This window comes from Homo sapiens, chromosome 2 (genome assembly GCF_000001405.40).
Source record: "Homo sapiens chromosome 2, GRCh38.p14 Primary Assembly".
Lineage (NCBI taxonomy): Eukaryota > Metazoa > Chordata > Mammalia > Primates > Hominidae > Homo > Homo sapiens.
This window is the reverse complement of record NC_000002.12, coordinates 208566763-208583350: the sequence shown is the minus strand read 5'-3', so window position 1 is coordinate 208583350 and position 16588 is coordinate 208566763. Positions and strand designations below refer to the sequence as shown.

The window sequence follows — 16588 nt, the reverse complement described above, 5'->3', positions numbered from 1 at the left end:
ATATGGCTTCTTAACACACAGATTACTGGGCCTCATCCACAGAAATTCTCATTCAGCAATGGGGCTACAAATTTTGTACTTCCAGAAAGTTTCCTGGTGATGCTGATACTGCCGGTCCTGGCACCACACTCCAAGAATCAGTGTTATCAAAATGAAATTCCAGGCATTGGGAATAGAATTAGAAGTTATAGACTGGCCAGGTGCTGCATAAATGTCATTTCTGTACATTAGGTTCACCTGGGCCTACTCATGCCCACTAGGTTAGCCAAGGTTCGCCAAGCCCAGGATTTACATAGCTAAAGCAGTGATGTGCAGAAATATCCTTCCTACAGCTAGTTTCCTCAACCAGGCATCCCTTTGTCCAGCCACTTCATGCAAAGACAATAAGTCACTTATACAAACACATTTCACAGATATGGAACCTAACAACCATTCTACTAAGTGTTTATGTTTGAAAGTGACATACAGATAATATGGCTTTCTGCTTCGGATTTTTAATGGGGAAGGCTGGCATACTAATGGCAGAAAATGGTTAGAGTTGAAATTGCACCACTGGTATATTGTCTGCTTGGTCTCTGACACCCACACATTAAGCAACTATCAAAGAAAAGTGGAGGTTTTTTTCCTTTACTAAAATGGGTAAGAAAACCATTTCTCCCTTTAGCAAAGAGAATGAAGAGGGATGATCTATTTTGCCATCTAAGATACGTATTTTGAACTATTATATATCCATTAAGTATGTGTTGTTTTCTGTAATAACATAAGAAATTACTGCACTTACTATTGAGTAAAAATATACAAAGTTAAATGTTTTATATGAGCATGATAAGTGCAATATTTTCTGCATTCACTCAAAATAAACTCATTTAACAATTATTTACTGAGTCTGGTATGTGCCAGGAAATGTGCACAGTTCAGAGACTACAGAGGTACTATGGTAATATTTTCTCATTTCTCAGTACTAGGATATTTCTTTTGCCAGAAATGCAGGAATGCCTGAATTCACCCCTGCAAATTTTTCCTCCTTTACTAGGAAATCTAAGCAGTATGTTATTAATGGCAGTACAAATGCTTCAGAGACTGACTCTCAGTTAAAATTGCATTAGAATGTATGGGTTTATCCTAAAAGCATAAGCTAACTTCATTACTTTATCAACCATAGTCCTAGCAGGAAGCTAGTATAAATACAAAAGGTTGAACTATGTTGAATTAAGGGACTATCTACATAGGTATGGACAAAGTTAAGGAAACAAGGGAAAGTGAAACACCCAGGGACTAGCAACCATAGGAAGCTCCTGCCACACATAGGCCTGATAGGCCAAGGGAAAGAATGGGTATTACCAGAATTTAATGAGAACTAGAACTTTTTAAAAAGAGACTGTCTGACTGCAGTTGGAGGAAATTCAGCCAGTGCCCAAACTATGGCCAATCTGGCCAAATTGTCTTTGTTCCTACGAAGGCTGGAAGCAACCTCCTATCAGTGCTTCCCATTGACTAAACCCAACCAGAAGCCCAAGTGGTAGGATTTGTAGATTTGGCCTCCTGAAGCCTGTAGCAGGGCTGAGAATAGAAAATTTACACACTCAAGTCATCCTTCCTCCCCAGCTGTAAATTATGGGAATGGAAATGGAGTTCACGTGGTATTTCCATAAATACCCATGAGGACAGAGAGAGAAAGATACCCTGGCCTCCAAAACACGGGGGCCAACTCCCTTTAACAATTCTGCTGCAATAAATGGGAGATATGTCACAACCAAATGGGCATCCTTCCCTGAGGAATCAGGTGCTGTCTAAAACAGGAATGCACCATGCAGATGTGTAACACAGAGACCATGCTCACTGTAAACCAAGGCTAATCGGTGGCTCGACTCCAACTAGAAATCCCTTCTCTTTTGCTGGAGAGTATGTGAGCATAGGGCTACTGGCATGATTAAGGTGAATTTGCTCCTTTTTGGGGGGATAAATGTAATTAGTAAGTGGGGCTTATTTATGTAAAATATATCAGTCTTTTAAAATCCAGGAAAAAAGTATGGCTATTTTTTTAAAAGCACATAGGTCAACATATGTGGTTTTTAAATTCTGCCTCAAAATATTCCTGTCCTAAGCTTCTTTGGGAAATAAAACAAGAATCTGAGTTATAAAGTAGTTTTTTAAATGGTTTATGCAATATGATCACAAATTAGGCAAACATCTGCAGCAAGGATTCAGTGAACCAATTTTCAAAAATAAAATATTTTGAAAACAGCAGAACTAAGCTGGTCTGTAAACAGAATAACCAGGGGAAAATGTTCTTTTTCACAATGGGTTTTGATACACCGAAAGCTATCGGTTATGTATCACAACCAGTAAATGTAGCAATCAAGTATTGATGCAGCAGATCTGTCTGGCTCCAAAAGCTCCCATCACACACTGTGGCCAGGGCCTCTCCCGCCAGAAAGCTGGGCAAGTGCACGCTCCAGGGTGCTTTGCATGAGCGCAGCCTTGCCCAGAGTTGTTAAATGAACCTCCAAAGTCAGACAACAAGTATGTGGCAGACGTGGGACTGGGACCTCAGGTTTTTAACTACATATCTGCTATGACTAAAACTGAAAATTTTCTTGTGCCTTTCTTATCATCTGTTGTATAAATTTAAGGACTGTGCAAAAAGAAATGTAGAAAATAAGTTCAGGTCATAAAAATATTACGGACATACATACTTACAAAGCAAACAGGGTTTCAAAGTGTGTTTCTTCTCTTTTAAGGTTATTTAAACAGTGATTATTTTCACCCAAATAGGATTAATTAAACTATGGAATCATATTCATTTGCTCTTACCTGTTTTATACTCTGGGGTTCCTACTAATTTTTATTTTGAAAGGAGTTTGATTGCTAAAACAAGAATTTAGAGAGAAATGGAAGAGATAATGGCACAATCAAATCTGTTATTTACAATCTGGAATCATGTGTGTAAATGATTAGTAGTTTGAAATAAATACAAAACACCCTATGATTATGCAACTGTAGGGGGTATCCCAGGAATCTGAAAATACCAAGAATTTACAGCTAATTTATTCTTTTTAACTTTCTATTACAGCATTTACCTAGCAAGTGGTATTCAGTTAAAGTGTGAATCATGATGCACCTGCGGACAGTTGTCTAAATGCCCAGAGTTCTCTGCTACACATGGGATTTTACAAGCATTCAGGTTACTGCCAAGAGAGGAACCAACAAAAACCTCAAAACCTAATAAGCAAGACTCATAAACACTTCAATGTTCTTTTCCCTAAGACCAAAGACCTGTTTGGGGAGTGCTGTTTGCTGATTAATATTATTATGAGCTGTCAAGAGCTCTTCTCACCAGACTAATAATACCTCAGGTCCAGCATCTCTTTGTAAACTGCCAGGAAAAAGGGCTCCTCAAATTCTTCTGTCAGAGAGCCACCCTCTGGAGCTCTGATTTCATTTCTGACACTGATTTATGCTTAATCTAGGCTGAGATTCTGCATTCTACTTGATGAAGACGCTGGCAATTATCTGTGCAAAAGGCAATAATTGTGAGAATTTTATCTTTGTGCAGTTTCTCACATCCCTGACTGTGCAAAGAGAATCCTACAGTTCTTCCCTGGTTCTGACATTTGTAATGCAGAATATGGGAAAGAGGAAGAAAGAGATAGAACTGTGGAGTGCAGAGAGCCGAGAGAGGGAGGAAAAAGGCTAAATGTCATGGCTGAGCTCCCAAGCATGGGGGAAGAGAATTAACAGAAAGTATTCTGAAAGAGAGGCATCTTTCACAGCAGCCTCAGGAGGTGAGAGGCTATGATGAGGAAAAGGGATTTCAGGAGGGACTGCTGAAGATGGGACACCTTTAATATTCTTTTTGTTTTGTTTTAACTTTTACTTTAAATTCAGGGGTACATGTGCCCCGGAACATGTGCAGGTTTGTTACAAAAGTCAACTTGCACCATGAGGGGTTTGTTGCACAGATTATTTCATCCCAGGTATTAAGTCTAGCACCCATTCGTTATTTTTCCTGATCCTCTTCCTCCTCCCATCCTCTACCCTCCAAAAGGCCCCATTGTGTGTTGTTCTCCTCTATGTGTCTATGTGTTCTCAATATTTAGCTCCCACTTATAAGTGAGGACAGGCAGTATTTGTTTTTTTTCCTGTGTTACTTTGCTAAGGATAATGGCCTCCAGTTCAATCCATGTCCCTCCAAAGAGTATTATCTCATTTTTTCTTTTTTTTTTTTTCTGAGATGGGGTTTCACTTCTTTTTGCCCAGGGTGGAATGCAGTGGCGCGATCTCAGCTCACTGCAACCTCCGCCTCCTGGGTTCAAGTGATTTTCCTGCCTCACCTCCCAAGTAGCTGGGATTACAGGTGCCCGCCACCACACCCAGCTAATTTTGTGTTTTTAGTAGAGACTGGGTTTCACCATGTTGGCCAGGCTGGTCTCAAACTCCTGACATCAGGTGATCTGCCTGCCTCAGCCTCCCAAAGTGCTGGGATCACAGGTGTGAGCCACCAAGCCTGGACGATCTCATTCTTTTTATGGCTGTATAGTATTCCATGGTATATATGTACCACATTTTCTTTATTCAGTCTATCATTGATGGGCATTCAGGTTGATTCCACGTCTTTGCTATTGTGAACAGTGCTGCAAAGAACATATGTGTGCATGTGTCTTTATAATAGAATGACTTATATTCTTTTGGGTATATACCCAGTAATGGGATTGCTGGGTCAAATGATAGTTCTGTCTTTAGGTCTTTGAGGAATCACCATACTGCCACAATGGTTGAACTAATTTACACTCCCACAAATAGTATATCAGCATTCCTTTTTCTCCACAACCTCACCTTTTTTTTTTTTTTTTTTTTAGACAGAGTCTCGCTCTGTCACTCATGCTGCAGTGCAGTGGTGCAATCTCAGCTCACTGCAACCTCCGCCTCCTGGGTTCAAGTGATTCTCCTGTTACAGCCTCCCAAGTATCTGGGACTACAGGCATGCACAACCATGCCTGGCTAATTTTCGTATTTTTAATAGATATGGGGTTTCATCAAGTTGGCCAAGCTGGTTTCGAACTCCTGAGCTCAAGCAATCTACCCACCTCGGCCTCCTGAAGTGCTGGGATTACAGGTGTGAGCTACCGCGCCTGGCCTGGACTTTTTAGTAATAGCCATTTTGACTGGTGTTAGACATGGTGGAGGAAGGGGATTAAAACTGGAACCCTTCCTTAGACCACATACAAAAATAAAGTCAAGATGGATTAAAGACTTAAATGTAAAACCCAAAACTATAAAAATCCTGGAAGACAACCTAGGCAATACCATTTAAGACATTGGCACAGGCAAAGATTTCATGAGAAAGACACCAAAAGCAATTGCAACAAAAGCAAAAATTAACAAATGGTATCTAATTAAAGTTAAGAGTTTCTGTACACAGCAAAGAAACTATCCACAGAGTAAACTGACAACCTACAGAATGGGAGAAAAATTTTGTAAACTATGCATCCAACAAAGGTCTAATATCCAGCATCTATAAGGAACTTAAACAAATTTACAAGAAAAAAAAAAACATAAAAAAGTGGGCAAAGGACAGGAACACTTTTCAAAAGATGATATACATGCAGCCAATAATCATATTTTTAAAAAGCTCAACATCACTGGTCATTAGAGCAATGCAAACCTTTAATGTTCTTCAAGAGATGTGAGTAACGATGCATTTCCTTAAATGCAACACTGAAGCCAGGGCATAATTCTGATCAAAGATGATTTACTTTCTCATTGTGCAGAATATAAGGTGATGATCACTGTGCTTATACTAAACACTTCATTAGATTGTGTCTATGGAATGGCAAGCAGCAGACCTTAATCTTCTTATTAATTTATTCCCAGTACAGCTGCAAAGATGGCAGGTAAAAAAGTGGGAAAGAAAAGAAGGAAGAAAGGAAGGAAGGAAGTTTTCCCAGCACCATTTACTAAACAGACTGTCTTTTCCCCACTGTATGTTTTTGACAACTTTGTCAAAAATGAGTTCACTGTAGGTGTGTGGATTTACCTCTGGGGTCTCTATTCTGTTCCACTGATCTATGTGTCTGTTTTTATTCCAGTACCATGCTGTTTTGATTACTATAGCTCTGTAGTATAATTTGAAGTCAGGTAACGTAATTCCTCCAGTTTTGTTCTTTTTGCTTATGATAGCTTTGGCTATTCTGGGTCTTTTGTGGTTCTATATAAGTTTTAGGATTTTTTTTCTATTTATGCAAAGAATGCTATCGGTATTTTGATAGGGATTGCATTGAATCTGTAGACCGCTTTGGGTAGTATGAACATTTTAACAATATCCTTCCAATCCATGAACATAGAATATCTTTCCATTTTGTGGTGTTCTCTTCAATCTCTTTCATTAGTGTTTTATAGTTTTAATTGTAAACATCTGTCACTTCTTTGGTTAATTCCTAGGTATTTAATTTTATTTGTGGCATTGTAAATGCAATTAATTTTTATTTCTTTTTCATTTTGTTCACTGTTGGCATATAGAAATGCTACTGATTTTTGTATGTTGAGTTTGTTATCTTCAAATTTACTGAATTCGTTTATCAGTTCTAATAATTTTTTGTAGAGTGTTTAGGTTTTTCCAAATATAAGATCATATCATCTGCAAACAAGGATAATTTGACTTCTTCCTTTTGTATCTGGATTCCCTTTATTTCTTTCTCTTGTCAGATTGCTCTAGCTAGGACTTCCAGTACTGTGTTGAATAACAGTGGTGAAATTGGGTATCCTTGTCATGTTCCAGATCTTAGAAGAAATTTTTTTAATTTTTCCCCATTCAGTATGATACTAGCTGTGGGTCTGTCATATATAGCTTGTATTATGTTGCAGTATGGTTCCTTCTGTGTCCAGTGTTTTGAGGTTTTCACCATGAAAGGATGTTGAATTTTATCAAATGCTTTTTCAGCATCAATTGATGAAACCAATCATATGGTTTCTGTGATCATATGGTTTTTGTCCTTCTTTCTATTAATATAATGTATCACATTGATTGATTTGCATATACTGAACCATCTTTGCATCCCTGGGATAAATCCCACTTGGTAATAATAAATTATCTTTTTAATGTATTATTGAATTCAGTTTGCTAATATTTTATTGAGGATTTTTGCATCAATATTCATCAGATATATTGGCCTGCAGTTTTCTTTTTTGGATGTGTCATCATCTGGTTTTGGTATCAGGGTAATACTGGCCTCATAGAATGAGTTTGAAAGTATTCCCTCCTCCTATATTTTTCAGAATAGTTTGAGTAGAATTGGTATTAGTTCTTCTTTGAATGTTTGGTAGAATTCAGTAGTGAAGCCATCAGGTCCTGAGCTTTACTTTACTGGGGCACATTTTATTACAGCTTTGGTGTCATGCTTGTCATTGTTTTTTTCAGGTTTTGGATTTCTTCATGTTTCAATCTTGGTAGATTGTGTAAGTCTAGGAATTTGTCCATTTCTTCTAGATTTTCCAATTTATTGGCATATAGTTGCTCATAGTAGCCACTAATGATCTTTGAGTTTCTGCAGTATCAGTTGTATTGTCTCATTTTTCATCTCTGATTTTATTTACTTGGGTCTTCTCTCTTTTTTTCTTAGTCTAGAGAAAGTTTCTCTATTTTGTTTATCTTTTTTTAAAAAAACAACTTTTTATTTTGTTGATCTTTTGTATTGTTTTTATCATTTCAGTTCCATTTATTTCTACTGTGATCTTTGTTATTTCTTTTCTTCTGCTAATTTTGGGTTTGGTTTGCTCTTGCTATTCTAATTCTTTAAGATGCATCATTAGGTTGTTTATTTGAAGTTTTTCTCTTTTTTTGATGTAGGCACTAATAGCTATAAACTTCCCTCTTAGTGGTGCTTTTGCTGTATCCTGTAGGTTTGGGTATGTTGTGTTTTCATTTCATTTCTTTGAAGAAAATTTTTAATTTCCTCTTCAATTTCTTCATTGACCCATGAGTCACTTAGGAGTATATTCTTTAATTTCCATGTGTTTGTAGATTTTGCCCGTTATTGATTTCTAGTTTTATTCCAGATGCTTTATATTATTTCAATTTTTTGAATGTTTTAAGACTTCTTTTGTGATCTAACACATGGTCTATCCTTGAGAATCATCCATGTGCTAAGGGAAAGAATACGTATTCTGCAGCTGTTGGATGAAGTGTTCTGTAAATATCTATTGGGTCCATTTGGTCTATAGTGCAGATTAAGTCTGTTGTTTCTCTGTTGGTTTTCCATCTGAATGCTCTGTCTAATGATGGAAACGGGGTATTGAAGTCTCCAGCTCTTATTGTTTGGGCTCTATCTATCCCTTTAACTCTAATATGTTTTATACATCTGGGTGCTCCAGTGTTAAGCACATATATATTTACAATTGTTATATCCTCTTGCAGAATTGACCCCTTTATCACTATATAATGACCTTGTTTGTCTCTTTTCATAGTTTTTGTCCTGAAATCTATTTTGTCTGATAAAAATATAGCTACTCCTGTTTTTTTTTCATTCCCATTTGCATGGGATATCTTTTTCCATCTCTTTACTTTCAGTCTATGTGTGTCTTTATAGGTGAACTGTGTTTCTTGCAGGCAACAAACAGACATTAGGTCTTGTTTTCTTATGCATTTTGCCAGTCTGTCTTTTAATTGGAGAGTTTAGTCCACTTACATTCAATGTTATTATTGATAAGTAAGAACTTACTCCAGCCATTTTATTATTTGTTTTCTGGTTGTTTTGTAATCTTCTCTTTCTTCTTTCCTTCCTTCCTATCTTCATTTTAATGAAGGTGATTTTGTCTGGTGGTATGTTTTCATTTCTTGCTTTTTATTTATTGTATATTTGTTATTTTTTTATTTGAGGTTACCATGAGGCTTGCATATAATATCTTATAAGCCATTATTTTAAACTGATAACAACTTAATACAGATTGCATAAACAAGAAAGCAGAGGAAAAACTAATAAAAACTCTACACTTTAAATTCGTCCTGTCACTTTTTAACTTTTTGTTGTTTCTATTTTTGTACTACGTCTTGAAAAGTTGTTGTAGATATTATTTTTTATTGGTTTATCTTTTAGCCTTTCTACTTAAGATATGAGTGGTTTACACAGCACAATTACAGTGTTATAATATTCTGTGTTTTTCTGTGTACTTACTATTACCAGTGAGTTTTGTACTTTCAGATGATTTCTTATTGCTCGTAAATGTCCTTTTCTTTCTAATTGAAGAATTCTCTTCAGCATTTCTTGCAGGACAGGTGTCGATGAAATCCATCAGCTTTTGTTTGTCTGAGAAAGTCTATTTCTCCTTCGTGTTTGAAATAAAATTTTGCCGTATATGCTACTGCAGCATAAAAGTATTTTCCTTCAGCACTTTAAATACGTCATGCACTCTTTCCTGGACTGTGAAGTTTCCACTGAGAAGTCTACTGCCAGATGTATTAGAGCTCCATTTTATGTTGTTTCTTTTCTCTTGCTGCTTTTAGAAGTGGGTGACACAAAACACTTCCTTGACTACTCTGGTTGATATGTTACTAGGTCACATGCCCCCCCAAGACTACTGGCTCCAAGCTCAGCAGAGCACAAGTTCTTGCCCAGGAATTGCAGTCCTTGTGGCTCAGGCTACCTTTCAAGTTTATTTAGAATCCTAGAGCACTTTGGACTGCAGTGGTGAGACTTGCCAGAACTCAGCTTCCAACCACTGGGATGGGCAATTTCCCTCTGGCTAGGTTTAGTTTAAATGCTCCCTCTGTGGGCAATGGCTGAGTTCAGCCTGGTGTTGCTTTCCACTGTGACAGGGCAACACTGAGTTCCAACACCAAGTCCCACAATCACTTCACTCTACCTCCCCCAAGCACACAGATTCTCTCTTCATACCAGCTGGTTGCTCTCAGGGAATTGGGGAGGGGGTGGTATAGGCAATTCAAAACTGTCTTTCCTCTCCTCTCAGTGCCTCTTTCAGGGATATGAAATTAAAACCAGGTACTGTGATCACTCACCTGATTTTTTATTCTTATGATGGTGCTTTTCTATAAGGATAGTTGTTTAATTTGGTGTTTCTACAAGGAGAATGATTGGTGGAGGTTTCTATTTGGCTATCTTGCTCTGCTCTGCCTCCCTTCCAAAAGTTAATTTTTAAAGTTTAGAAGTTGACATAAATGTTGATGTTATTTTAAAATTTATTATACCATAAGACACACTTATATTTACACTTTATTGAAATTAGCAGACTATCATCTCTGAAAAATATAATTTTTATAAGTGTGCTATTGTTTTTTGCCATCTTCACTATATATGTGCATGTATATGTGTATACACAGGAAATATGTGACTGTCGTGCATTTTCCAAAGATCAGCATTATAGTTGCTAATAGTTTTGCTTTTCTGGTATTCACTGGGCAAATGTAGTTTTGCCTGGAAAATGCCCAGGTCCTAGGCTAGGTGCTGCTTTTGCTGCCCAGGAGCAAATTCTCCCTCCCTACTCTCTTCATTTATCATAATTTAAATATGCATGAGCCCAATTTTTACAAAATGAAGGTGAAGTACAATGTTTAAAATTGTTTAACTTCTTTATTTTTATTCACTTTTTTTTTTCAGACATAATCTCACTCTGTTGCCCAGGCTGGAGTGCAGTGGCACAATCTAGGCTCACTGCAACCTCCCGGGGTTCAAAGGATCCTCCCACCTCCACCTCCTAAGTAGCTAGGACTACAGGTGCACACCACCAAGCCTGGATAATTTTTGTATTTTTTGTAGAGACTGGGTTCCACCATATCGCCCAGGCTGTCCTCAAACTCCTGGGCTTAGCAATCTGCCTGACTTGGCCTCCCAAACTGCTGGCATTACAGGCCAACTGTGCCTGGGCTGCTTCCTTATTTAAAAAAAATAAAAATAGCAATGTGTCCTAAATATCTTCCATGTTAGTATATAGAATTGTCTAATTCTGGTGAATGACTAAGTAGAATAGTTAACCAGTTCCCTATTGTTGACTATTTTGCTTCTTTATATTTTCTTGTTATTACAAATAATGCTACAGTGAACATCTTTGCACCTATATTGTTTGCAAAGATTCCCATATAATAAATTATTGGTGTTGGGATACCAAGATCAGTTGGGATACTTTCAGTCACAACTAAACATGTTACACACAAAACAATATTAATTACTTACCTCTCTTTATAAGAAATTTGAAGGTGGTTCTAGATTATTTCAGTGCCTCAACTGGATCAGAATCCTGGATATGTGTCTCTGCAATTCTCTTGTCCTTCTCATGGTGTCAAGCTGGCTGTAGCAGGTATCTTATCCATACACAGCAGCCTCCCAATCTGGAAGCAAGTAGGAGATGAGAGTGACAAAATGAGCTCTTTTTGTTGTGACATATGCTTTTTACCAGTAAAGAAGTCCCCAGCAGACACTCTCTTATCTCTCTTTGGGCAGAACTGGGTCTTGTGTCTAATTCTACCTATAGAGAAGCTGGAAGAGATATGAGAGGCAGTTACAAGATTAGAGTTGAGAGTATTGGGAGTGACCAACCAGCAGCTCAAGCTTACTGCCTGTGGTTGTGCAGTATACAATTCTAGGGGCACTGTTCATACCATGAGTATCATAAATTTCTGGTAAAGGCCATAAAATATCTTGAAGAAGGACCATTTTTCTTGTCCACATAAAGTTCTCACATTGTTAGAGTACGCAGTTAACTATACATGAACAGGAGGGGGAGCCTCTGAGAAAAAGGGAGATCTGGAAAATCTCACACCCCAGAGACCACCCAAAACATGCGCGGAAGATAGGAGCAGAGAGGAAGGGAAATACCTATGCAAGAAGGAGCGCCCCTGAAGATACCCAGTATTGCTCACTCTGCAGTTAACGTGTCAGAAGGTAGCTAGCTGCGTGCTGCTAAGGAGGGAAAGAAGGCAAAGGAGAAATTCCTAAGTGATACACAGGCCAGGCGCAGTGAGTATGGATGTGACCACTATACAACCTTCCTGGGGTGGTGGGAATGCACAACACAGACGTTAAGTAGAATTCACACCTAACACCAGGCCGGCACATCAACTGACAGTAAGGGAGAATCCCACTACCCTGGAGCGGGAACCAGGTAGGGAAAAGCAGGGATGCAAGGCAGAAGCAGAAGAACTAGACAAAGAGAAAAGTAGGAGACTTAAGACAGAGGTGGGAACTTCAAGAAAGAGTCCATTATAATGAAATCCTCAACACAGAACTCGTGGGTCTGCTGGCATTCTCTTTCAGCAGCCCGCTCTACCTCGTCTTTCAGAGTGTACTGTCCCTTTAAATGAACACCGCTACGGCTGGGAGGCTCTTTCCCTGCAGTGTCAGCCGCTCCTCTTCTGCAGTACACTCATTTTTTTTCCACAATAAACTCTTTGCTTCCTATTTCTCTTCAACAAAGCCCTCTGCTATCTCTGAACTGTCTCTTGGCTGAAATCTTTCTCTCAAAACGACTAAGAACCCAGGATTACCAAACTTCTCAGTAACAATATGAGTTAGCAGTGGTCTCAGAGCAGCCTCTGCCACAAACTTTATGGATAATTCCAGACTGCCATCCTAAAATCTGAAAACCCTACCCACTACCACCAACAGCATATGAGACTATGAGCTGTCTTCTCCATACAGTTGTCAGCATTGTTATCAATCTGTGAAACAAAATTTTAAATTACATACTTTTATTATTCACGAGGCACATATGTTCTTACATTAATTGGCTATGGGTGTTTCTTCTATGGTTTGCCAATTTATATATTCTGATCCTCTACTCTTTGGGTTTCTATTTCAGCATTCCAGGGGACATCATTTATCCTGATTCCTGTCTCCAGCCTCTTTGTTCAAGGTTACATGACAATTATTTATTTATTTAAACTTCAAGTTGCTTTGAAAGGTAAACTGTTAAGTTTCTGAGAATAGTAAACTATTTGGCCATTTGTGGAATGAAATAGAGTTCCTAGAAAAGAGGTGAAGTTAGGAGGAGAAAATAAATATGCGGGGGAGGAAGCTTGAATATGTCCAACCTCCCCGCCGCCCCCATTCATCACCCCACAGTATCTGTCCCTCCTGAGCTAAGCAGAAATTGCTACTAACAGCAGCCAGATATGGGTGGAGCCTCCGGTTCAGGTGGAGCTCGACAGACAGTAGATGCAAGAAGTTCTCCCCTCTGGACTTGGTGAATCCTAGAGACAAGCATGGGAAAACCCAGAAAAGAAGACCAAAAGGCCAGGAATGCTGAGAAGAGCTTGTGTAGGCTTGATGCATGGACAAAGTGGTGGGGAAAGTTGGTTTCATCCTACATCACATGCCTGCTCTCCACAGTACCCGCAGAAGTGAGAAGAACAGATAAGTTGAAACTTTCCTTCTCCAGCTGACTCCAACAGGGAAAACCAAAGCCTTTTATCCAGCCCTCTATGCTTCTTCTGCCCTCTGGAACTCAAGTCTTTCACCAGCAAAGTATCTTAATTAGATCCGTTTCTCCCAACGTTTGTCTTCCTTGCTTTGCCTGAAACCTGCCATGTCCTTAATAATAATATATACCCTGCAGCTCTCACAAAGGAAGCCTGCTTTCCTCTCACACCTCAGCTCCTGTGAGCTGGAATGGGAAATCTTTCTGAAGGCTCAGTGATGCTTCTGGATCATTTTTCTTTCCTTCTTCCTCAAACATCCAGCTCAATTCAAGCACATGCACCAGACTATGCTATTCCCTACCCCTCTTTTTGTCAACTACTGATTTTGTCTATTTTGGTTTTTGCCCTTGTCTCAATGGCTTCTTTTTTACCATCCTCCTGTTGTTATTCTTATGCCTTGAGCATCCCCATGGAGGTTGTACAGAATCTCAAGCCTCTACCTATTGTTTTTAAGCTTAATCATCCATTTGCGGTCATACCTAGACCTCATCTTCACAAATAACTACACTTCCTCTCAAATCTTGATGTGGGCATCCCGTGAATGAGACATCAGCCCCTCTGTCTTGACAGCACTACTCTTACAAAGTTATTGAAGGAAAGTTAGAGGCTCAACAAATGTTTCACAGGACAAACACCCTGACTTTTCTCTTTTTTTTTTTTTTTTTTTTTGAGGTGGAGTCTCGCTCTCTTTGCTTACGCTGGATTGCAATGGCATGATCTCGGCTCACCTCAACCTCCGCCTCCCAGGTTCAAGCAATTCTCCTGCCTCAGCCTTCTGAGTAGCTGGGATTATAGGCATGCGCCACCACGCCCAGCTAATTTTGTATTTTTAGTAGAGATGGGGTTTCTCCATGTTGGTCAGGCTGGTCTCAAACTCCTGACCTCAGGTGATCTGCCCGCCTCGGCCTCCCAAAGTGCTGGGATTACAGGCATGAGCCACCACGCCAGGCAGGCCCTTGACTTCTTTTAAATGTAATTTATTAGCACTTTTTTAAAAGAGCTGTTTTGCACTTCAAGAATTTATAACCCCACATTCCACCTCCCCTCTCCTGATGAGAATCACTAGATTTCCTATACTTCTTTTCCGAACACAAGCCAGTTCTCAGAGAATATCAAGGTTATAATGGCACATATGGGAAAGTCAGGTGTGGTGGTTATGATCTGCAGGTGATGAGCATGCCCCTGCTTTGTTGCTGCAAAGAAGTTCTTTAAAGTCCTATTCTGAAATTTTGAAATTCTTCAAATTTTTAATATTATTTTCTCTAGTGACCACTATTTCTGCAATTTTTAACTCCATTTTTACGCAAAGCCCTAGCACTAAAGCCACTCTTTTGTTTTTGTTTATGCATTCTTCCTTACCCAGCTGAGATTTTACGGTTTGTTGCTATACTCTCTTCTTCACATTCACTCCTAACTTTCTCTCTCTTCTCTATCATATTTGGACTTTAAAAATCCACCCTGGTGAAATCTCAGTAGCTGTGTGGTTCACCATAGCTGTACCCAAGCAACTGAACATGGCTGGAGAAAAAGATTTTCTCGTCTTTTAGTGCATGACCACAAACCTCAAACAGACACGTAGCACTGATTTAGCAAGCCTAGTATATAATCCAAATGAGCTGAGTTTCTTTCTGAGATGATAATTTGAAAGTTTCTATCTCACCCTTCCTTTTTGTCTTACTCTTACTGATGCCTTGCTTCTAATTTCACTGAAAAAAATAGTACTTACCAGACAACAACTACATCATCTTCCCAAACCAAATTCAGCAACCTTCTTATACATATTCCTGCCTTCCTTTTGGTTATAATGGAAGAAAGACCCCTCATAAATTGGGGGAATAAATGCCAGGTGGGTGGCTTCAGGAACTCTCTTAGTGCTGACAGTGATTTCAGCTGTCTGCAGCACTAAAGGGGTGATTCCTGTAAGTATACTAGAAGAACCTGGAGGACAACTTTCAACTCCGTATCCCTTATAGATTATCAAAGGCTCAATTAGGAAAGAATTTAAAATGTAGGGGGGATTGCCTGGAGAATTTGCACCTGTGCATGTATTCATCCAGCTACATGAAAATCTATTCCTGAGTTAACCAGACCTGTGCAAAGTTTTGTGGCTAGCTGCACAATTACATCTATCCACTTTCATAAAAACGAGTTTTGGTGCTTTACTACCAACATAAACCGAGTGATGTGACAAGAACATCTTCATAAAATTTTCTGCTATATTTACTCAAAGGAGGAGTGAGGAGGCAGCATTTACTTCCTGAAATTGTTTTAATGTGTTCTTTCATTTCTTCCATTATTTTTTCATTTCCACTGCATGATTGCTTTCAGTACAAATGGTATAAAATCTCTTATTTTGAAAAGGAAAACCTTTCTTTGTCCACCCATTCCCCCACCAAATACTCCTTCATTTTTCTGCTCTATGTAAAGCAAAAATCTTTAAAACAATTTTTTCTACTTGCTGTTTCTATTTCCTCTCCATCTGTTCTCTTAAACTCACCCCAATCAAAATTGTATCCACGTACTTCCAATGCAAGTGTTCTTGTCAATGTCACCAGTGACTATAACCTCCACTTGACCAATACAATGGTCAATTCTGAAGGAAATCAAAACATTTTACCCCAACATATATTTCTGTGACATATATTGAAATGGCTGCCACAGGGCCAGCAGACTCAGGTGGGGGAAATTTGCATCTATAGTGAATCCCTCTTAGGGCAGCCAGGCCTTCCTCTTCTAGGCCATTTCTGGATCTAGAAAAGATTAACTGAGAATCTGGAAAGAAGCATTTACCATCTATTCTCTCTGAGGACTACTACCTATGAGGCTTCATCTATATAACAAGGCCACCTATGCTAGCCAAGCCTCTTCCTTTCTCCCTCCCATGAAATGTCTTGCCATTGAAACCTGTTTGGGCCATGCTCTAATTCCCCATTCTTTCCAGAACCTTGAGATTCTATATGAGCTTCTTCACCTCCCCACAGAAGTGGGTCTTCATTCTGAAGTCTCCTGTGCATACAAATAAATTTGTATGCCTTTTCTCCTGTTAATCTATCTGCCTCATATCAACAATTTTCAAATAACTTTGAGGGGGCCCAAGTGTCTTAGTTCTTAGTTTTCAACTTGCTCTATGGTTGCCCACTTCCTCCAAATTTTAAGTTGCCA

General features: G+C 38.9%; 1 long non-coding RNA gene across 1 annotated transcript in view; it reads right to left on the bottom strand.

Moving 5' to 3' along the window:
• LOC101927960 (uncharacterized) overlaps positions 1-16588 on the bottom strand; it is a 282946-nt gene that overhangs the window by 242237 nt on the left and 24121 nt on the right. The window contains exon 2 of the long non-coding RNA NR_136588.1: positions 11184-11338. This is a non-coding gene — a long non-coding RNA (uncharacterized LOC101927960). The remainder of the gene's footprint in view (positions 1-11183; positions 11339-16588) is intronic.